Source organism: Homo sapiens, chromosome 10, assembly GCF_000001405.40.
Source record: "Homo sapiens chromosome 10, GRCh38.p14 Primary Assembly".
NCBI lineage: Eukaryota > Metazoa > Chordata > Mammalia > Primates > Hominidae > Homo > Homo sapiens.
Window position 1 is genome coordinate 121,553,792 of NC_000010.11, and position 23,937 is coordinate 121,577,728.

The 23,937-nt window shown below is 46.8% G+C and overlaps 1 protein-coding gene across 22 annotated transcripts in view; it reads right to left on the reverse strand.

The window, feature by feature from the left end:
• FGFR2 (fibroblast growth factor receptor 2) overlaps positions 1-23,937 on the reverse strand; it is a 120,129-nt gene that overhangs the window by 75,462 nt on the left and 20,730 nt on the right. For 10 of the 22 annotated variants that reach the window (NM_001144914.1, XM_017015921.3, XM_017015920.3 and 7 more), the window contains 2 exons: positions 11,647-11,913; positions 10,711-10,788 (listed from right to left, as the gene is read on the reverse strand). The exons of 6 other annotated variants lie outside the window; for them this stretch is intronic. In NM_001144914.1, the coding sequence (NP_001138386.1) occupies positions 10,711-10,788; positions 11,647-11,913 (345 nt within the window). The remainder of the gene's footprint in view (positions 1-10,710; positions 10,789-11,646; positions 11,914-23,937) is intronic. 6 more of the 22 variants (XM_024447890.2, NM_001441089.1, NM_023029.3 and 3 more) reach the window with 1 other exon arrangement.

Consider the following 23,937-nt stretch of genomic DNA (forward strand, 5'->3'; position numbering starts at 1 on the left):
GATTTTTATGTTCCCTAAAAAAAAAGTGGGATTTAGCTGAAGGAACTAGGAATGTTGTTCTTTTCTGCCCTCACTGGGCCAAGCCATGGGTGAGTCTGTAACAGCCCAGGGACCGGCCCAGACCACGCGCACCTATGCAGGCCTGACCTGTGGCAACAGCCCATGGGCAACCCGCACCTTTGTCTTGGTGCCTCGGGAGTGATTTAAGGACTAAGGTGAAATAATGTTGCTGGAATTTCTGGCAGGTAGCCACTTCCCTCGGGTGATATTTCAATCATCAAAGCTACACCTATAAAATCTGCTTCTGCAAAACACAGACACAGCCATACAGCAGGGTACGGGTGCAGTGCTGCTCATCTAGGTCTCAGAGATCCAAGGTTGGGGGCCACCATAAAAAATCCAGGCACAACCCTCCACCCAGGCTCCCATGTGTGACCAGCCCCACCCTGGTGACTGCTAACATCACACCAGCACACAGCCTCTCTTTAAATATCAAGCTCACAAATATGTTTAATGAACTTGATACGGGAGGGGAGGAAGTCTTTTTTTTTTTTTTCCTTTTTTTGAGACAGCGTCTTGCTCTGTTGCCCAGGCTGGAGTGCAGTGGCGCGATCTTGGCTCACTGCAAGCTCTGCCTCCCGGGTTCACGCCATTCTCCTGCCTCAGCCTCCCGAGTAGCTGGGACTACAGGTGCCCGCCACCATGCCCGGCTAATTTTTTTTTTTTTTTTTTTGTATTTTTAGTAGAGACAGGGTTTCACCGTTTTAGCCAGGGTTTCACCGTTTTAGCCAGGATGGTCTGGATCTCCTGACCTCATGATCCACCTGCCTCAGCCTCCCAAAGTGCTGGGATTACAGGCGTGAGCTACCGCGCCCGGCTGGAACTCTTTTATAATTTTACAATAGCTCTTCCTAAAATACACTAGCTTTATGTGAACCTTGAATCTGTAAGATCTAGAAAAATAATAATACTATAAGATAGCCCTACTGTGTTTCCTTCATCAGCAGCCTTGTGTCCTCTGTATGTTTTTGCAGTTGGAAAGGACACACATGGAAATGCCAGGGCCTCCCAAGAACTGCAAAACAGCTGGAGACAAACACCATCCAGGCACTTAGAACGGGCTCCTCTACCTAAGGAAGCCCCTTTTATACCAAGGCTCGTGAACAGCTTTAACAACTCTCATTTGGAGAAGGAACTCATGTACCAAATTAAAGATCTACTGAAGCAGAGATCAGCCTTGTCCATAGTAGATGCTTAACAGGGATGTTTACTCAACAATCTTATCTAAAATGAATCTGCAGGCCAGGCGCGGTGGCTCACGCCTGTAATCCCAGCCTTTGGGAGGCCGAGGTGGGCGGATCACCTGAGGTCAGGAGTCCGAGACCAGCCTGACCAACATGGTGAAACCCCGTCTCCACTAAAAATGCAAAAATTAGCTGGACATGGTGACGCATGGCTGTAGTCCCAGCTACTAGGGAGGGTGAGGCAGGAGAATTGCTTGAACCCAGGAGGCAGAGGTTGCAGTGAGCCGAGATCATGCCATTGCACTCCAGCCTGGGCGACAAGAGCAAAACTCTGTCTCAATCAATCAATCAATCAATCAATCAATCAAATGAATCTGCAAGCTAAGGACACATGAGTTTCCCTGAACTTTATATACCTTAGAGGTGTATGAAGAGCGGGCTTAAAGTCAGCTAATAGAGACGTGTGGTATAAACTTCCAATGGCATTCAAAATGAATGACACTAATCCACCTGTAAAGGAAACAAATTAACCTCGATGAGAGGTATGGTTCCTTTGGCTCTGACATTCTTAGACCTTCTGATGTAATAGGTACCACAAGAATGATGTTCTCCTAATCATCAAATACTAAGAATGAGCTGGTTAAAGAACAGTCAGACCTAGCCACAATCAATCAATCCCATCCCATCAATTAAATCCCATCACCAGCATATAGCATACCTACTCATTATCATTTTCTACACTGTAACAGTCATTGCACATTAGTAATAATATTAAGTAGAATTTTACTTTAAGACAACAGAAGTCTTTTAAGATGCAATGAGTTAAAGAGAGATTTATAAACCCACAGAAACTTCCTTCAAAGGACTCCAACACAGCCTTTATTATTCCCACCCTAGAGCCAAGTTATTCTTTCTCAGGGCCCCTTCTTTGTGATAGATGTGTGCTTCCAACATTAGTGTCTCTGTACTGAAAAATACTCCTTCTGATGCTGACCAACAACAGTAGGGCACCTGGAGGGTACAGCTGGAGTTGTCTTTAGCCTATGGAGTAGGCACTCAAGCGTTATTGGATGGATGGATGGATGGATGGATGGACGGACGGATGGATGGACGGATGGATGACTATTAAAAGCTTTAGCTATAAAATGAAGTAGTTGCACTGATTAAGGTCCCCGCCAGTTCGAACATACTTTCCAGGTATCTATGTGCTAGACAGGTATTGATTCTGTCAACAAATGGTAGGATTATGTGATTTCTTTTGACCCTGCAATTTAAACTTAGTGAGAAACCATAGGCTGCTGGGCCTGCCCCCACCAAAACCCTTGCACATCTCAATGCTGACACCTAAGGTTTATAATCTACTCTCTCTCTCTCTCTCTCTCTCTCTCTCTCTCTCTCTGGAACCAAAAAACAGAGAACACGGCCCAATGATTTAAAGGAGAAACATGGAATCATATTACCAGGCTGTACCAAAAGAGACCTCGGTGACCATCTGGCCCAACGACTGATGATATCAATGTCATCCAGAAAGGTTAAGTGATTTGATCAAGGTCACACAGCCAGAGGCCGGGCTGAGGCCAGGCCCATCTCCAGCTCCCTGAGCAGTGTTCCTTCAACCACTCCAGCCTGCCCTTTGAACTCTCCCATGGTAATTAAGTCAAAAGTTCAAGATTTATGTGAGCCGCGGCCACCAATGACTGCCAACTGTATTTTTATGGATGCAAAAAATTTTAAAAACACAGCCTGTTCCAGCTCCTAGATTAAGTCTCACAAACTCTCTAAAGCCCCACTAAAGCCTCTGTCTCGAGTCTATAATTAGGGCTTTTAAAAATATCACTAATCAGGACATTTGAATGCTTTGACTCCTGACAGGGGAAAAATGTCTCAGAGCTCCCCACTACCCTGCAGTTCTGCTTTCAGTTTGGTATAAACTAAGAGAAAACAAATCTAACAAAATACGGAGATGTGAGTGAGGATATGATTATGAGGGGGTATGTCTGTGGCTTTGAGAAATCTCATTAAAAACTTGCTAACCAGCCAGGCATTCAATCAGAAATATATGTTTTCAAAACCAAGCAAGTTAACCACAAGTGAAAGAACTGAGCCCACTAGCAGACCAGTTAGCCCATGGGAATTCCCAAGATCTGCCTTCAAAGGAAACTTCTCCAATCATTGGCTATGCTGTTTGACCAAGGAGGAGACTGAGAAAGATATTCAGTCCAACCATTGGATGGAACACCATCAACAGTATTTGTGATAAAATACCAAAAGCAGCTTTTTCTTCTTTTTAAGAGACAGGGTCTTGCTCCGTTGCCCAGGCTGCACTGCAGTGGTACAACCACAGCTCACTGCAGCCTTGACCTCCTGGGCTCAGGTGATCCTCCCACCTGAGCCTCCCAAGTAACTGGGACTGCAGGCATGAGCTACCACACCTGGCTAATCTTTTATTTTTTGTAGAGATGCGGTCTTGCTATGCTCCCGAGGCTAGTCTCAAACTCCTGGGTATACACGATCCTCCTGCTTCGGCCTCCCAACTAGCTGGAATTACAGGTGCGAGCTGCTATGCTGGCCCAAACCAACTTATTGATGATGTTTTCATTACAAAGGGAATTTCTAAAAATTTGCAAAGCCTGTGTGGGTTTTTTGTTGTTTTTATTACTGATATTGTTCTTTTCAATTCCTAGAAACTTCAACACAACTAAGAAGCCTGCTGTTACCAACTTAGGATCTCTACCAAGTAAAAATCCCAATTAGAACAAAGGTGACTTTGAACTGTTATCGGCAGGTTAATCAATGAAATGAGTTTGGAATCTCAGGCTAACTACCTTCATTTTCCCTAGGTACTTCCAAAAAAAATAGCCTTTCTCCCTGACATGGAGTGTGGGCATCTGCAGGTCTCAACAGGAATGAAACCAAAATAGAAAATTACTTTTTCTCTCATCACTCGAGAGAAAGAACCACTTTAGCAGCAAGAGTCTTGATGCAACTGTCTCTCCATCACTTCCCTCGAGTTAAGCAATGGACCTGAACTTTTCGTCCATCATGATCTTCTCAAAAACTAAGTCTCAAGCTCTTCAGAAACATTAATCACCGAAACAAGCTGGAAACAATAAAAATCCCTCGAACAAATGGGTATATGCATCTACCTAGTTGCTGCCAGATAACCCATTAACATACCTAGTACCTAGGGAAGGCAAGAACTAGTTAACTTATACTTTTCTATGCGAAAGGATAAATTCTCAACCCTTCAAAACCCTCAACCTGGATGCATTTCAAAAATTAGCATATGAAACTGCAACTTTCTTTCTGGAGAAAATGTGTTGCACCGAGGGGCATATGTAACAGCATTATTTCCTGGCAACCAGGCTTGTAATGACATCACAGGACTGTTCCACTTGGAAACATCTAGTGCTGGTACCATGTGAGGTCATCAGCTAGTCAGCTGCTAAAATATGACCAGAGAATGCCCTGCACATCTGTGATGAAGAAACCAACTTAAAAAGATCAATCAAATCAGCCCATGGCTGGGTTTTTCAATGCATGTACAACATGATGTTAATAGATACAGTTTTTTGTTTTTTTTTTTTTTTGAGACGGAGTCTCACTCTGTCGCCCAGGCTGGGGTGCAGTGGCACAATTTCGGCTCACTGCAACCTCCACTTCCCGGGTTCAAGTGATTCTCCTGCCTCAGCCTCAGGCGCCCGCCACCAAGCCCGGCTAATTTTTATATTTTAGTAGAGATGGAGTTTCACCATATTGGCCAGGCTGGTCTCGAACTCCTGACCTTGTGATCCGCCTGCCTCGGCCTCCCAAAGTACTGGGATTACATCCATGAGCCACCGCGCCCGATCTTTAATTCTTCATTGTTATTTTTGCCATTGTATTTGGCACCCAAGCTTTTCGTACTCTGTACAGAATCTAAAAAACACTCTAGCAGGCAGCTGAGCTTGCCTTCTTATGTTAACCAACAAAATTAGATCAATAATCTAGCAAATCAGCAGAGGGAATAACCTGCAATATATTTTTCCAACTGGAAGATACAGAACTAAATTTTCAATGTCTCAATCCAAAAGGAGAAAAAAAAAAAAAAAAAAAAAACTCAAAAAAGCCCAAAAACGTCACCATCAACACAGGGTCACTGGAGCATCATTTGTCAAAGTTCCTAAAGAAGAACATACAAACACACCCCAGTGGCATTTTCAGACAATCAGAAGGCACCAAAGAAATCAATCTGGACACATGAGTGTTTTCCAGGTGGCTGAAAATACAAAGAATTTGGTGCTTCTGCAATTTTCCCTATTAATCGGGTCAGGCATTTGACACTTGAGGTGGCAAAAAATTGTTTTAATGGCAACGTCCCCTTTCCTGCCTTGCCAATTACCCCGGCCGTGGCATTCCTCTGTCCACACAGACCACAGCTGCTTAATCTCAGCCGCCCCAGGCTGCACCTGTGAATCAGACCAGCCTAATCACACTAACAGATGGCAGAGGCCAAGTAGCCAGCTAAGAACCGCTATCACTTTAAATAGCATCTAATGTTTCACAGACACCAAACAGAGGCACCTCCTCACAGCAGTATCTCCCTGGTACAGCTAACACTAGCCCTTAATCACTGCAGAGCACCCATTTCAGGGGCAGAGTTGCTGTCATTCGAGAGCTAATTACAAAAGAACCCTGCTTGCAAGGTGAAGGCATGGCAAGTACACTGTTGGTTGGCATTCATCACATGGGTGCTCTACCCCCTGGCCCTTCTGCATGGGCGCTGGGCAGTTAGGAACACTGTTCACAATGCAAAGCATAAGGTCCACAGCATATAATCCTTCTGAACCACTCAGCCTGCCTGTCATGTAATCCATACCTTGCTGTTGCATTCTATTGCTTCACATGGTTTCACGGTAACCTGCTATTAGGCAGGTAGCCGACAACCAGGACAACGCAGTTCCCCAGGCATCCAAAAACCAAGCTGACAGAATCTGATGTCTCAATCCATAGCGAGGGCACCCACATACAGTAAAACTGGAGAGCTGTAAACACCTGTACAAGCATTCTCACTCCACCCCCATCGTGACCCTAGGATGCTCTCAGGCAACAGGCCTACAACTGAAACGCAGCCCTTCTTTTGCTTGCTAAGCCACAATTTTCCATTCAATAAAGCAAGAATAAATACTCTCTCCACCTGATCGGGTTATTGGTGGCATGGACGGAACCAGCAGCCAGCACAGAGCCTGTCTAGTGCAGGCCCTCAGCATCTTTGCCTCCAGCTTCATGCCAGAGCCACTGGCCAAAAGAAGTGAGTGGGCCAGGTGCCGTGGCTCACGCCTGTAATCCCAGCACTTTGGGAGGCCGAGGCGAGCAGATCACGAGGTCAGGAGATCGAGACCATTCTGGCTAACATGGTGGAACCCCATCTCTACTAAAAAATACAAAAAATTAGCCGGGTGTGGTGGTGGGCACCTGTAGTCCCAGCTACTCGGGAGGCTGAGGCAGGAGAATGGCGTGAACCCGGGAGGCGGAGCTTGCAGTGAGCCGAGATAGCACCACTGCACTCCAGCCTGGGCAACAGAGCAAGACTCCGTCCCCAAAAAAAAAAAAAAAAAAAAAAAAAAGAGGCGAGTGACATGCTCCACTTATCAGTGCTTTTTATTAAATAACAATAATGATAACCTCTTTAGAAGGCTGGTACAAATCACAGAAGATACTTCCACTCACCTTATTATCCACTGTTTTACGAACAAGACCACTAACAGTAAGCTCCCATTCAGGGCAGACCTCCACGTGCAAATTCTAAGCCAGTGGTTCTCGCATTTCAGTGTGAATCAGAATCAGCCCCAGAGTTTCTGAGGCAGTGGGTCTGAGGAGGAACCTGAGAATCTGCATTTCGAGGGAGTTCTCAGGTGATGCTGATGCTGCTGGTCCAGGAACTTTACTTTGAGAACCACTGCCCTAAGCTTCCTCTTGACAAAAAGTAAAAACTGCACCAACCAAAATATTTCTCTTTTGCCCCAGCTGCTAGGAGACTCAGGGACAAATCTAAGTCTTCACTTAAGTAACTCATTTATCCGAGGCACCTACCAATATCTATTTTATCTTTTTCCTTTAAGAAGACAGGCCGGGCGCAGTGGCTCACACCTGTAATCCCAGCACTTTGGGAGGCCGAGGCAGGCAGATCACCTGAGGTCGGGAGTTCCAGACCAGCCTGACCAACATGGAGAAACCCCGTCTCTACTAAAAATACAAAATTAGCGGGGTGTGGTAGCATGTACCTGTAATCCCAGCTACTCAGGAGGCTGAGGCAGGAGAATTGCTTGAACCCGGGAGGCAGGGGCTGCGGTGAGCTGAGATCGCACCATTGCGCTCCAGCCTGGGCAACAAGAGCGAAACTCCCATCTCAAAAAAAAAAAAAAAAAAACCTAAAGGACAGTCTTTTCAACAAATAGTCCCAGAACCACTGGACATCCACAGGCTAAAAAGTGAATCCACACACACACCTTACATCCTTTACAAAAATTAACTTAAAATAGATTACACACATAAATACAAAATACAAAACAATAATACTCCTAGGAGGTAACATAGGAGAAAATCTAGATGACCTTGGGTTGGGTGATGACATTTTAGGTATAACACCAAAGGCACCATCCATAAAAGAAAAACCAGACTACATGAAACTTAAAAATTTCTGCTCTGCAAGAGACACTGTCAAGAGAATGAAAAGGCAAGCCACAGGTGAGGGGAGAAACTATTTGCAAAAGAGATGTAATAAAGGACTGTTATCCAAAATATACAAAGAACTCTTATAACTCGACAGTAAGAAAACAAACAACCTAATTAAAAAATGGGCCAACGGCCTTAACAGACATCTCACCAAAGAAGATACATGGATGGCAATTAATCATATGAAAAGATGCTTCACATCATCTGTCATCAGAGAAATTTAAATTAAAACAACAAAATACCATTACACACCTATCAGAATGGCCAAAATCCAGAACACCAAGCACATCGAATGATGTGGAGCAACAGGAACTCTCATTCATTGCTGGTGGGAATACAAAATGGTGCAGCCACTTTGCAAGGCAGCTAGGTGGTTTCCTACAAATCTAAACATACTCTTCTCACATAATCCAGCAATCACACTCCTTAACATTTACCCAAAGTAATTGAAAACTATGTCCCCACAAAAACCCGCACAAAGATGTCTGTAGCAGCTTTATTTGCAACTGTCAAAACTTGGAAGCAACAGAGTTTGTTTTTTTTTTTTTTGAGATGGAGTCTCACTCTGTCACCCAGGCAGGAGGGAGTGCAGTGGTGTGATCTCGACTCACTGCAACCTCCGCATCCTGGGTTCAAGTGATTCTCATGCCTCAGCCTCCCGAGTAGCTGGGATTACAGGCATGCACCACTACACTTGGCTAACCTATGTATTTTTAGCAGAGACAGGGATTTTGCCATGTTGGCCAAGCTGGTCTCGAACTTTTGTTCCCAAGTGATCCACCCGCCTCGGCCTCACAAAGTGCTAGGATTACAGGCGTGAGCAACGGTGCCCAGCCGAGATATCTTTTAGTAGGTAAACGGGTAAATAAACTTTGATACATACAAACAATGGAATACTCAGTGCTACAAACAAATGACCCATCAAGCCATGAAAAGACATGAGAGAAACTTACATGCATCTTACTAAGTCAAAGAAGCCAATCTGTAAAGGCTACACACTGTATGATTACATACCCTAAAGTCAACCACACACTTTGGGTGATAATGATGGCAGTGCAGGTTCATCAACTGGAACAGATGTACCATTCTGGTGGGGATGTTGATAACAGGACAGGCTATGCATGTGTTGGGGAAGATTATATGGGAAATCTTTGTTCCTTCCTCTTTATTTTGCTGTGGACCTGAAACTGCTCGAAAAAATAAAGTATTGCCAGGCGCAGTGGCTCACACCTGTAATCCCAGCACTTCAGGAGGCTGAGGCGGGTGGATCACTTGAGGTCAGGAGTTCAAGACCAGCCTGGCCAACATGGTAAAACCCTGTCTCTACTAAAAATACATAAATTAGGCTGGGCACGGTGGCTGACGCCTGTAGTCTCAGCACTTTGGGAGGCCGAGGCAGGTGAATCACAAGGTCAAGAGTTCGAGACCAGCCTAGCCAACATGGTGAAACCCCATCTCTACTAAAAATACAAAAATTAGCCAGGTGTAGTGGCAGGCCCCTGTAGTCCTAGTTACTCGGGAGGCTGAGGCAGGAGAATTGCTTGAACCTGGGAGGTGCAGGTTGCAGTGAGCCAAGATGGCGCCACTGCACTCCAGCCTGGGTGACAGAACAAGACTGCATCTCGGGAAAAAATATATATATATACATAAATTAGCCGGGTGTGGTATATTACTTAGGCCTTGTTTAAATGTACCAAATTGACTAAAATCCTTTTAAGAAAAATGTAGAATATACCATGTAAGCAGAGAATCCCAATACCCTATGTACAAACACTTTAGGAACATTCTAGCCAAGTCATTGGAAAATGCAAGTAATGCTATATTGTATTTTGTGTATTGAATAAACATTTGCAAGCAACCACTCTTCTGAGCACTATACAACTAGGAACTCATGTAATCCTCATAACAACCCCAGAAAATAGTATTATTATTATTACTCCCATTTTATAAAGAAACTAAGGCACAGAAGTGAAATGAGCAACTCAGAAGTTGTGGAGCAAGATTCAAACCCAGGTTGCCCAGCTCCAAGAGGCTACGCCATGTTCTTCCTCGCAAGTAAATGGCCTCTCCCATGTTAGCGCTCAGTGTTCATGGCCCTCATTAAGCAAGCCACCCTTGGCTCCCTTTTCAATCGTGGTCTACAAAGTAAGGCACACGTCCTTCATTTTCACTCAGCATGAGGTGTGTGTTGTAGGAGGCCGGGTTTCTCACCCTAGGGATGATTGACATCTTGGACCAGATAATTCTTTGTTATGGGGCTGTGCTCTGCATCCCTGGCCCCTCCCCAGCTAAAGGCCACCAGCACCCCCTCCCTCTGTTGTGACAACCAAATATTGCCCAATGTGCCGGGAGAGCAAGAATAGGCAATTGCCCCAGTCACACACCACTGGATTAAACCAAGCACAATCACTGATTACAAGGAAAACCAAGATGTTACATGGTTCTACTATTCTTATGTCTCTGAATAGGGAGAAGTCAAAGGGAAAAGGGAAAATCAAGGAAAGAAAAGTAGTAACTGCTTTGAAAAACGAATGACCAGTGACACGAGAAGAAAGGACAAACGATAGAGAAGGCTGTGCAGCAACACTGGTTTATTCTCAGGTTTGAAAGTCAGGAAAGTAGACACAGCGGGGAAAGGCAAGGGCCGCGGGACACAGCATGGCGCAGAAGAGTCGACAAGAAGACAGGTGACAGGCAGAACTTCCCTCCATGCTCCTCTCTCGGGGACCATCGGAGCCGGGCAGTTACTTACTCTTGTTGTTACTGTTCTCACTGACAAAATCTTCCGCACCATCGGTGTCATCCTCATCATCTCCGGATGAGATGGCATCTGTATGCAAAAGAACATATTCCATGGATGTGTTTTTTGCAAAGCAAAAAGGTTGCAATTATCTACAACTGAGACCTTCTCCATAGCAAAGTCAACAACCCAGGAACCCTCGCAAAGAGCCTGGGATTGTTTTCAGTTAAGATAGTTTTAATGGCTTAAATTTTCCCTCCATGATGACAGTTGGTCTATGTTATGATTCTCAATGTTTTCTGCTTTCACGCTATTTAAACAGGCTATAAAATTGGATATATGAGAACTGGATTTCAAGCTTCAAACAGTATTCAAGCCCCTGACAAATTTACCAATTGTGTAGCACCCAAAGACTCTTTTTCCAACATTAACCTTTCAGTATGCGGGGTCTCCTTGAAGAAAGAAATTGATCCCTAACAAAACTCAGTCCCTGTGTGGCCCTTCTCATCGTCAACTAACATTCTGAAAGCAGAACTTTAAACTCGGCCACAAAGGGGGCCTGTTCTGTCCCGCTCACTGCATAGAAGGAAATCATGGAGAGAAACTCAAACTCTAATAAATGAATCAGAAATCTTGAGTATCCAAATTTCAACCCTATATTCTAAATGCCAGAGATGTCAGTGGTACAAAAAAAAAAAAAAAAAAGCATGTATTTACTTAAATAAAAGCGTACTATCTTAAGAAAAATGTTACTTTGTGCACAAGAATTCTATCATTCTTAATGATCGGCCTTTCTGGTGCACCAGGTCCCAAAGAAGAATTTCAAAAACTATGAAGCTGTATGCCTGGCATCCAATTACAATTAGAGATCTCACTACCTTTTCACTTGGCCAAAAAAATGTAATGGCTACAGAGAAGAGAGAGCATAGTGCTGGCGGGCCAACTCACCTGTGACATTCACCATGAAGTACCAAGTTTCACTGTCTACAGTCCTACTGGCAGTACAAGCATAGAGGCCGGAGTCTCTAGGCGTGGCGCCCTTTATCTGCAAGTACTCCCCAATAAGCACTGTCCTATTGTTGGGCCCCAAGTGCACCCCATCCTTAGTCCAACTGATCACGGCGGCATCTTTCAACAGGCAGCGCACCTCTAGCGACTCCCCTGGCGCAGCCACGTACACTTCTGGTTGAGAGATTTGGTATTTGGTTGGTGGCTCTGCAGAAAGGTGGGAGAGAGAAGACGGAGACAGATGGGAAGGAGGGAGAGGAGAGAACGTCCAACAAAGGTCAGTGGAGGCCTGCTTATTCCCAGGAGAAGCTGTTCTTGCTCTGCAAATGGCCCCAGCAGGCATCCACCTCTCCCCAAGCCCCAGGAAGTCAGGAAGTATCTGGAAGAGCAACCAGAGGATACCCCCAGAAAATCTGTCCTGACTTAGTTTCCACATCCTATGGGGCTTTAGAAACAAACCAAACCATAGCATGGAAGAATATTCCACAAGAAAATGTTTAAATTGATTGCCAAAGCGTGCTTGCACTGTAATACCTGCAAAAATCTGTTATTGTGGTATGTTTTATTTGTAAGAATGCCGAGTTTTACACATTTGTACGTGAAACGTGACTGTGCGCCACACACACATACACTCTTTATTATTTGTGCTAGACTTGGTCTGTTGCCCCAAGGCCAAGCTTCTTAAAATGAAATGTCTCAAACTCAAGGAAAACTAAGGGATCCCTCTACAAGATTTTTTGCCATCCAGAGTTTTCATGAGCTCTCATGTTCAGATCAGTACTTTGCCGGTTTAGAGACCTAATTCTGTGCTGGGTGAGCTGAGACCTGCTGTTTTCCCAAAATGATAAAAGCCTAGAGGCCTTAACACCAAAAACAAAAAGAGCAAAATGCCCAGACAGCTGCAAGGCAGTCTCCGTTGCACTTACAGGGGTCCTGAAATGAAGCCGCTGGGTGCTGTGTGCCCCCGACTCCACACGACAAAGCTGAGTCCCACCCTGCTCACCAACACCCACCACACATGTCCCAGGCTTCTTCTGTAGGGACAGTCCTTCCTCCCTCTCTTCCCTGTCATCCACCCTCCAAGACCCAAATCAAGCAGGGTCCTCCGTGATGGGAGTCACCTTGCATCAGTCCCCCTGGGCGGAAGAGCACTGGCTCCCTCCCCCTCCACCATACACCTGCCCACTTTGCCAGCTCATGGGATGCACCATATTCTCATGAATGCATCCCATCTCCCCACGGAGACACCAAGACCCTAGAGAAAAGGCGTGGGTCTCATGGTTCTCTGTGCTTCCCGCCACCGACCCCATCCTGCTTGGCAGACACATGGCCATGTCAAACAAGGTCACAGTTCCCAGATATGCAGCACGGGATTGGACCCACAAGGATCCAACCCACACAACCTCTCCACTGGAGTTGAGAGGACACCACTGGCATTTATTAATAACAACAGCTGGAGCGGCCAGCTGGGATGGCCACGAGGGCCCAAGAAGGAGGCTTTCATCCCTCCAGTGAGAAGTGTGAATGGGACCCAGAGTTCCAGGCCTAGAAAATGCAAAGCTTCCCAGCACTGAGACAGCACCAAATCAGGGCAGGATCAAAGGCAACTGTTTTGCCTAGACACCCCTCAGAAGAACAAATCTCCCACAGGAGACTGAAATCAAGTCAATCTGTGTTTCAGTCCCACTGTGAAAGGAGCAAGGGCCACATGCATTGGGGACAAGAAATCCCCCTCACCACCACCATCAACAGCCACACAGGAGGCCCGGGGCTTCTCAAGGGGGCATCACCAAAGGCATGCATGCCAAGCCCCAGATGCCAACTAGCACGTGAACACAAAGAGAGAATCACAACAAAAGGAGGAAAATAGAAGCTAAATGTAACATGGACAAATGCACCCCAAAGCAAGGAAAGCCCAGCTGACGGGCAGGTTATGTTTCTAACATTTGTTTTCTCACTCAGTAATTATTTACTGCATGTCTACTATACAACAAGCCTATTCTGGAAGCTCCGCAGCAAGAGGAGACAAGATAAAGACCCTGCACTTGTGGAGCGTCCATTATGGTGGGGGTGACAGACGATAGATACAAAATCTACAAAAAATACAGTGTTCTTGCTTAAGCATTAGGAAGAAGGACATGGCAAGGTACGGGCACACACAGCAGTGGCAGAGGAGGGCTGGTCCCTTGGCAGGAGGTGGCGGATGATGGCCCGCGGGCCAAGCCAGCCGCAGCTTGTTTTTGTAAACAAAGCTTTATTAGAACACGGCCATGCCCATTCCTTATTGTCTGGCGCTGCTTTTGTGTGTTACAAGGGCAGAGTTCAGTCATTGCAACAGAAACCCTGTGGCCTGCAAGCCCTACAATATTTGCAGTCTTGCCTTTGCAAAAAGTGTTTCAATCCCTGTTGTATAAGACAATCAGAGAGACTTCTCCAAAGAACAGGCATTTGAGCTGAGAAGTGAAGGACAAAGCGAAGTTTAAAAGATGTTGGGAACTTAGTTTGAAGGCTCTTAGAGCAGGTCTCTCAAGGCTGGTTAAGTCAAAATGCGGCTGAATTGAGTGACTAATAGAAATACTTTAAACTATGGAGACCAAACAGAAAAAAGAAAGGAAGAGAAATATGAGAAGGAGGAGAAGACGGCAGGGATTCAGTCTGGTCCCAAATCTTGGCCCATCTCCCACTCCCAACATCCTAGAGTCACAGATTCACTCAACATGAGAGCTGAAGGGGCCCCAAACGCTATTGGTCCAACCCCTTTGACAGCTGGCTAAGGCAAGGACCAGATGTCCTTTGAGTCCCAGGTCTCCAACAACTCATTGCTGAAACAGCACCCACCATGTTAGAATGAATTTACATTGGATCAGTCTGGGTCATAAAATGATCAATGTCTATTATGACAACATCACATGATCAGCAAGTCACCAGAAATGTTATGGAATGTACTTTCCTCTTAGCCAGAATTGATCACCAGGGCAGCCGCTGAGCAGAAGCAGCAAAGCTTCCCTCCCTCACAGGGAAGGCACCTGGGACCCACACACCAATCTGCTCCATCCTGACCCTCAGATAAGGTGCAACCATGTCCCTATGTCACGCAGAGGAATGCTCTAAGACTCCATTAGGGGGAAAAAAAGAAAAAAAAAAGATAAGCAAGGCATTTGCAATTGTGATGCAGAAAAAAATCTCTCTCCCGGCAAAGGAGGAGTTATGATGTATGATTTCCTGTTTTTAAATGAAAGTGTTTTCATTGAGAATCCTTTCCTTCACCTAAAATCAGTAAACCCCAAAATCTTGCTGAAACTGGGGGTATCTGAGCTGCTGGACTACCACGTGCTGTTCTAGAAGGAAGTACAGGGGACAGCGAGGACCTGTGTCTTATTTGGAGCTGGACATGGGAGATGCCTGGTGAAGGGTGCTGCCCTGGACGAGAAGAGGATGAAGCCCTGAGTTCCCACGCCTCTCCATTCCTGCTTAACCTTTTGGCCTGGTGTTCCCCATCTGTTGCAGGGTAAGAGTACCCAAATACTGGTTTATTATTGGTAAGATTCCAATGAGCCAACGAAGATGAACCTGATCATCAACTACAACATGTCGGGCTAATGACTGTCACTATTACTGTTACTCTTCAAGGCGGAAGATGCTTGCCGTGATTTTTTAAGCACCACGATTTTCAGAGGATAATCACAGAACATCTGGGTTTCTTTTTCTTTTCTTTTCTTTTCTTTTCTTTTTTTTTTTTTTGAGACAGAGTCTTGCTCTGTCACCCAGGCTGGAATCCAGTGGCACGATCTCGGCTCACCGCAACCTCCGCCTCCCAGGTTCAAGTGATTCTCCTGCCTCAGCCTCCCAAGTAGTTGGGATTACAGGCGTGCACCACCACACCCAGCTAACTTTTTTGTATTTTTATGAGAGACAGCGTTTACCATATTGGCCATGCTGGTCTTGAACTCCTGACCTCGTGATCTGCCCGCCTCGGCCTCCCAAAGTGCTGGGATTATAGGCGTGAGCCACTGCGCCCAGCCAGAACACTTGGATTGCTATCTCCAGATACAAAGTGATTTTACAGGAGTCCCATCTCAATGGACAGTTAAGATGACTTGACGTACTAAAACTGCTTTTGATCCCAGTAAAACCAGATCAAAACTGTCATCTAGATATCCAAGCTTCAAGGATAGTAAAATATCACCCCCTAAAATACACCAATGAGATAATGATGTTTATCCATAAAAATCAAGCCATCCTGTCTTCAAAGTCTCAAACCAGTAACTGCTGTCTTGGTAAACTGAGAAAGCAAGGACTCCTCCCTCCACCCCTTCAGTGGTCATTTCACAAAGGGCCCATTTTGGGGATCAGCGGTGCCTTTAGTAAACATGCCAGTAATACCCCTGGGTATCCCAGAAGACTCTGCAAGCACATGTTAGGGAGAATGCATGAATAAACACACAAGAGAGAAAGAGGTTGGGGAGAATAAAAAGAGGAGGATGTAAGTAAGAAGAGAGGCAGGGATGGGGTGGGGCCATACGCTGGGGAGGGGCCAAATGCCACACTGGTAGCCTCCCAGGCCACCCAGTGGCCCCCCAAGCCCAGCCTGCAGGGCCCAGCACACACGACACATATCAAAGACAACCCCGGCCAGGGGGCCAAGAACACAAGCACCTAACAGCTGGCTCAGTGGAAGCAGCTCTGTCCCTGCCCGTGTCCTTGGGTCCATTTGCCGTCCACAGGGCTTAGCTTCTCTTCTGGGTTTGAATGCTGCAGGTGACCTGACCCGCTGCCCACTCCCTGCAAACATGCACTCCCTGAGCCCTCCATGTTCATCCCCACAGTTGTACTGACCTGGCCCCAGGCTGCGCGGAGCCAGGACAATCAGAGAATCCCCTGTGCCTGCATGTGCAAAGGGGCCTCCCTAACTCTGGTCACCCCCCATGGATGGACAACCTCTCCCTGACTCCACCAGGCTGCACAGCCTGCTCTGTGAAAGAGCAAAGAATTCCCCAGGAAATGTACATAACTCCTTTTATAGTCATGTGAGCACTTCCTGGATTTACTTTTTCCCATTGCTGTGGCATACTTTTCACCTTTCCTGTGCGAATCCACCAGGGGTGCACAGCCCAACATCTCCCTCATCTCCTGCCAAAACGCAATGGGGAGAAGGTTCCAGAAGCCGCCTTGCTATGCACAAATGCTCTTTCAGAGGCTTCCACAGACAGAGAATATGTTTCCATGTATTTTTCACAATATGAATTAAAAGTCGAAAAGAAGCAAGCAAGCTTCACAGTAGTATTGGCCAATCTTTGTCACTGTTTCCTAAAACTGGTAAACAAACAAGGCACCAAGTCTCCTTCCTGGGACACAGCTCAACACTCGTTTCTACTGCCGTGGCCACACTACTGCAGCCCTGCTGCATAAAGCTCAGTTGCATCCACGTGAATTTTCTCCCAGAAGTTTCAAATACTTGGGAAGTACCAGCAGCGTGTTAGCAAGCAGCCTTTTTTTTCTTTTTTTTTTTGAGACGGAGTCTGGCTTTGTCGCCCAGGCTGGAGTGCAGTGGCGCGATCTTGGCTCACTGCAAGCTCCACCTCCCGGGTTCACGCTATTCACCTGCCTCAGCCTCCTGAGTAGCTGGGACTACAGGAGCCTGCCACCACACCTGGCTAATTTTTGGTATTTTTTTTAGTAGAGACGGGGTGGGTTTCACCATGTTGGCCAGGATGATCTTGATCTCCTCACCTCGTGATACGCCCACCTCAGCCTCCCAAAGTGCTGGGATTACAGGCGTGAGCCACCGTGCCTGGCCTTTTTTTTTTTTTTTTTTTTTTTTGAGACGGAGTCTCGCTCTCTCCCAGGCTGGAGTGCAGTGGTGCGATCTCGGCTCACTGCAAGCTCCACCTCCTGGGTTCAAGTGATTCTCCTGCCTCAGCCTCTGGAGTAATGGGATTACAGGTGCATGCCATCACGCCTGGGAATTTTGTTGTTGTTGTTGTATTTTAGTAGAGACAGGGTTTTACCACGTTGCCCAGCCCAGTCTCAAACTCCTCAGCTCAGGCAATCCACCTGCCTCCGCCTCCCAAAGTGCTAGGATTACAGGTGGTAGCCACCGCACCTGGCCACAAGCAGCTTCTTTAAAAACAAACAAACAAACAAACAAACAAACAAAAACGACTGGCCGGGCGCGGTGGCTCGTGCTTGTAATCCCAGCACTTTGGGAGGCCGAAGCGGGCGGATCACCTGAGGTCAGGAGTTCGAGACCAGCCTGGCCAACATGGAGAAACCCCGTCTCTACTGAGAATGCAAAATTAGCTGGGCATGGTGGCGCATGCCTATAGTCCCAGCTACTCGGGAGGCTGAGGCAGGAGAATCGCTTGAACCCAGAAGCTGGAGGTTGTGGTGAGCTGAGCTCACGCCATTGCACTCCAGCCGGGGCAACAAGAGCAAAACTCCATCTCAAAAAAAAAATAAAAAAAAAAATTGACTGTTTTGATACTTTAAAAATGAGAGAGACAGGTACTTGTACAGCTAATCAAAAAATAAATGGGCCAGGCACAGCAGGTCATGCCTACAATCCCAGCACTTTGGGAGGTCGAGGTGGGAGAATCACTTGAGGTCAGGAGTTCAAGACCAGCCTAGGGAACATAGTAAGATCCTCTCTCCACAAAAAATGAAAAAAAAAAAAAAAAAAAGCCGGGAATGATGATAAACACCTGTAGTCCCAGCTACACAGGGGGCTGAGGTAGGAAGATCGCTTGAGCCCCAGAGGCTGCACTGAGCTATGATCGCGCCACTGCATTCCTGCCTGGGTGACACAGCGAGACGAGAACCTGTCTCCAAAAATAAATAAGTAGCCCAGGCACAGTGGCTCATGCCTGTAATTTCAGCACTTTGGGAGACCAAAGCGAGTGGATCACCTGAGATCAGAAGTTCGAGACCAGCCTCACCAACATGGTGAAACCCATCTCTATTAAATATAAAAAATTAGCTGGGCGTGGTGGCATGTGCCTGTAATCCCAGCTATTTGGGAGGCTGAGGCAGAGGAGAATCGTTTAACCCAGAAGGTGGAGGTTGCAGTGAGCCGAGACCATGCCATTGCACTCCAGCCTGGGCGACATGAGTGAAACTGTCTCAAACAAAAAAAAAACACAAATAAATAAATAGTATGAATAACAACAGGCATCTGCACATGAGCTGTGAGTAATTCCTGCCTTGACCTGGCCTTCCTTCCCTAAGAAAACCATCCTGTTATTCCTTGGGAGCTCATAGGACCTCTGACTGGGGAGAGAGAGAAACTGAGGCAGGGGCTGCCTGACTCTCCGAGCCCCTCAGCAGACCATTTGACATCACACAGAGTGCCACTAGCCACAAGCTGCATGAATTTACCTCTCTATAAGTAAACAGAGAGAAAAAAATCCTCGCTGTGTGTGAAGATAGCCCCAGGAGGGGGAAATCTTGTAAAAGTCAAAAAAGGCTGTGACTTATGTGACTTCACTGCACACATCCAGCTGGACTTCTCACCCATCTCAGCGGGAGGGTTGTCTTGAGACAGTTGAAACAGCAAAAGGGTTTGGAAACGGTAAGCTATTTCAGGTAACACTTTACGTTGCCAAACCAGCGATAGCAGCACTTCAGACTGTCACTTTTTATAATGTTTGCCTATAAACTTTTCCCGTGTGGTTTTTGAAATGGCGCCCAAATGCAAACAGAGAACAGATGGGAAACCTGAGTCTTGCCCCGTCCAATCACTTCACGGAGAATGGACGACAGATTTAAACTGTTAAGGAAGAAAAAAGCAGTTTCTACCAACGGCACAGCTCCCTCCATTACTTTTCACAAATTAAGCCTTTTCTGGGGTTTCCCAGGGATGGTGTCTTTTCCAACGTCTAGATCATCCTAGTTCCAAGGATGCGGTGGGGTCGTCCTGGAACCCATCCCACTGAGGTTTCTCCCTCCTCCAAAGTCAGAGGTGTCCAATCCCTAAACACATTCCTCCAGGAAGAAGAAAGAGAGAAAGAAATCCCTGAACAGACTCCTCTGGAAGAGACAGAAGGATGAAAGAGAGGGAGAGGGGGAAAAAGGAGAGGAGAGACGGAGACAAGGAAAAGGAAGGGAGAGAAACAGAGGGAGGGAGAGGAAAGAAGAGGAAGGCAAGAGGAAGAAAGAGAGGGGAAGGGGAGAGGAGAAAGAGGGAGGGGCAGAGAGAAGAGGCAGGTTAGGAGCACACCCGGGAGGCATGTCCTGTCAGGGTTGTGGGTTGCAGGAAGAAACCCGTTTGTACCTGGAGGCACAGCTGGGACTCCCACAAGCACTGTAACAGGAGCGCTGCGGGAAGGGTAGTAAAATGGCCTTCGGTTCCCGGTGCCCTCCCACACCTCCTGCCACCTTGTACAGAGTAAATGTCACGGCTGTAGGGCTGTAGGGCTGCCAGTGTCTCTACAGGAGAAACACAGTCCGGCTGCAAATGTCGCTACATAGTCACTGCACACAAAGCACATGGCAAGTAAGTGGCCGCCACTGTCCTCCCTGGTCCAGTAACCCCCAACTGGCCCTCTTAGTCTGGAAGATGTCCTGTAGTGGCCACGCCCAGTCCCAGTAAGAAGTCCTCACTGGTCAATACCCAATTCTCTGTCCGTAGGAACAGAAGAGAGATTTCTGCAAGATAGGGTTTCTGGAAGAGCCCAGCCCCCTCTTTCCTATGGCACAATCTGGGTATCACTGGCATCAGAACTTATCAGCAGAAAGAAATAAAGGCAATGGAGGCCAGGTGCGGTGGCTCATGTCTGTAATACCAGCACTTTGGGAGGCCCAGGCAGGTGGATCACTTGAGGTCAGGAGTTCGAGACCGGCCTGGCCAACAAGACGAAACCCCGTCTCTACTAAAAACACAAAAATTAGATGGGCATGGTGGTGTGTGCCTGTAGTCCCAGCTACACGGGAAGCTGAGGCAGGAGAATTGCTTGAATCCGGGAGGCGGGGGTTGCAGTGAGCCCAGATCGCACCACTGCACTCCAGCCTGGGTGACAGAACTAAACTCCATCTCAAAAATAATAATAATAATAATAATTAAATTAAAAAATAAAGGCAATGGAGTCCCGCCATTGAAGTCAGAACCAACCACCTTTGCATGCCCTGCCATGAGGGCTGTGTACACAGCAACGAAGACAGCCTGCTGCAGCCCAGACATCCTCAAAGCCTCCCCTCTGCAAGAGCCGACTTGCAAGAAGACCAAATTCCTCACATCAAACAGAGACCTTATAAGGCATAGGTACTACGTGTTCTTTAAGGGGGCGAGGAAGGGACAAATACTCCGCACAATATAAAGGTGAAAGTTCTCTACCTCGAGAAATACTGCCAACATAAAAACGGAGAACAAAAAGAAGTCAAAGCAACAAACAACAGATAAGTACGCAGGATGAAAGGGTGCAGTCCTCTCTTTCTAACCAGTTGTCAGGGTGTCTGGTAGACACAAGTCGGGACTGAAACCTCCCTGGTCGCTAACAAGGATGCCGGTAACAACAGCTAACAGCCGCCTCTGCAGCGGTAGCTGGATTTCTCCAGAAACTCCAGACTGGCTCATGTTCCTAGTCATCAGATGGGATCATGGCTAATGTTTCCAATATGGTAACCATTAAAAATTATATATTTAGGCACACCCCTCATATCATTTAAGTCTGCCTTTGAGAAACATGCTGGATGGCTCTTCATGTTTGAAAGAAATTATATTGTTGCCCATGAGAAAATAAAAATGCACACAGAGTAAAGAGCCTAAGAATGCACTTACTGAGGAGTGAGTCACCGTGTCTCCCAATGTCCCCACCCACAGTGGAAATCCGCACTCCCTGTTTTGTCAGTATCCCTCTTGCTTTTGATCTGATGTTTTCGGCTGTTCATGACAGTGTTCTCCAAAAAAAGATGCACAGAGGGAAGGTTTTCTCTCTGGTCCCAACACGTGTATTAAAGTCATATTTCATGAGTGAAAAATTCCTGATGGACCACTAAGACGCAGGTATTGAATCAGTACTGTGTGCATAAACTCCTAGATATGGGCAGCTTTGCTTGCATAAGAACTTCAAAATTGAGTCCTGGCCGAGTGCGGTGGCTCATGCCTGTAATCCCAGCACTTTGGCAGGCCGAGGCGGGTGGATCACCTGAGGTCAGGAGTTCAAGAGCAGCCTGGCCAACATGGTGAAACCCCATCTCTACTAAAAATACAAAAATTAAGCCAGGCATGGTGGTGCACCCCTGTAATCCCAGCTACTCGGGAGGCTGAGGCAGGAGAATCGCTTAAACCAGGGAGGCAGAGGTTGCAGTGAGCCGAGATCGTGCCACTGCACTCCAGCCGGGTGACAGAGCGAGACTTCATCTCAAAAAAATAAATAAATAAATAAAAATAATAATAATTTAAAAAAATAAAAGGCCGGGCGCAGTGGCTCACATCTGTAATCCCAGCACTTTGGGAGGCCAAGGAGGGTGGATCACCTGAGGTCAGGAGAGTTCAAGACCAGCCTGACCAACATGGAGAAACCCCGTCTCTACTAAAAATACAAAATTAGCCGGGCGTGGTGGCACACGCCTGTAATCCCAGCTACTAAGGAGGGTGAGGCAGGAGAATCGCTTGAACCTGGGCGGTGGAGGTTGCCGTGAGCCGAGATCACGCCACTGCCCTCCAACCTGGGCAACAAGAGCGAAACTCCGTCTCAAAAAATAAATAAATAAATAAATCGAGTCTTTTGTTCAGAAAGCATTTCCCAAAGCGACAGGCCATTAGATCATGTAGCGCCCAGGAAATAGATACTTACGTTACAAGCTATGTTGAAGTCCTGCACGCCCCGGCTTGGATGTACAATGAGGAGTCTGTGTGCCTGGCTGCCTGGCCAGCCCAGCCCGAGCCTCCTACCTTCTGAAAATACACTTGCTGGACATAGCAGAGAAAGCTGGTACATCTCCAGCCCTTCAGGGCTTCTTGGGACACACTGTTCTGGGGAAAACCCTTTCATCAAAAGGCATGTGGGGGGCTCACAAGGAGGTGAAGGAGTGAATAGGATGTGCCTGGCCTTTAATGACCCAATCTTAGGGTGAAGAGTGGCCCTACAGAGTTGTCACTCTGTAAAATGAATGCATTGTGATCTCCAGTCCTGAAACTGAACCCTCTGGTCTCAAAACACTTCCATTCCCTGAGTCCTAATGACAGTGCTCAGCCAGAGGCAGCTCTCTTCATCTTACAAAGTAGTAAAGCACCTGTCTCAACAGACAGCTATACCCCAAGCCTCTCATGGTCCCTTAGCAGTAAGGCTATGGCCTCATTTTTGTCCCTTCTCTGGTGACTCTTCAGAAAAGGCTGGGGGTGTTAAAGGTACAGACCAAGGCCGGGCATGGTGGCTCATGCCTGTAATCCCAGAACTTTGGGAAGCTGAGGCAGGTGGATCATTCAAGGTCAGGAGTTCGAGACCAGCCTGGCCAACATGGGGAGACCCCATCTCTATTAAAAATACAAAAGTTAGCTGGGCATGGTGGCAGGCGCCTATAGTCCCAGCTACTCGGGAGGCTGAGGCAGGAGAATCGCTTGAACCTGGGAGGCGGAAGTTGCAGTGAGCCAAGATCACGCCACTGTGCTCCAGCCTGGATGACAGAGCGAGACTCCATCTCAAAAAAAAAAAAAAAAAAAAAAAAATATATATATATATATATATAGAGAGAGAGAGAGAGAGAGAGAGAGAGACACCAAACAGACCTGTCACTGACACCGAGACTATGCCACTTACAAATCGTATGACCTTGAGGCAAGTCCTCGGAGCAGGAACAATAATAAATGAGATAGGACACAGAAGGCACCCAGCACAATGTCTGGCACTTACACATCTGCCATCAGAAAGACCTTCCGGCTGAAATCCTCACTCCTCCGCTAAACAGGAAAAAAAGCAAGGCTGCCTAGCCAGGTCTTCTCAGTGTGGAAGGTCAGGAAATGAGAGAGGAGGGGGCAGGGCTCCTGGTCTATTTCTCAATCCCTAACACAGAATTGGGGGTTAATTATCTTCGGTTAGCATTCTGCTTCCTGCTGGTGCGTACATGTGCGTATGTGTTCTTATGGACAGGAACATGTCAAGGAGGACTTCTCGCCTTTCTAGGAAATTTCTCCTTCCCTGCCACCCCTCCTGTATCCATGGATATACCCAGAATTCTACCTCTGGCTCTTCTGGTCCTTTCCCTGCATTCCAGTCTCCTGGGCACGTGTGGCTTTTC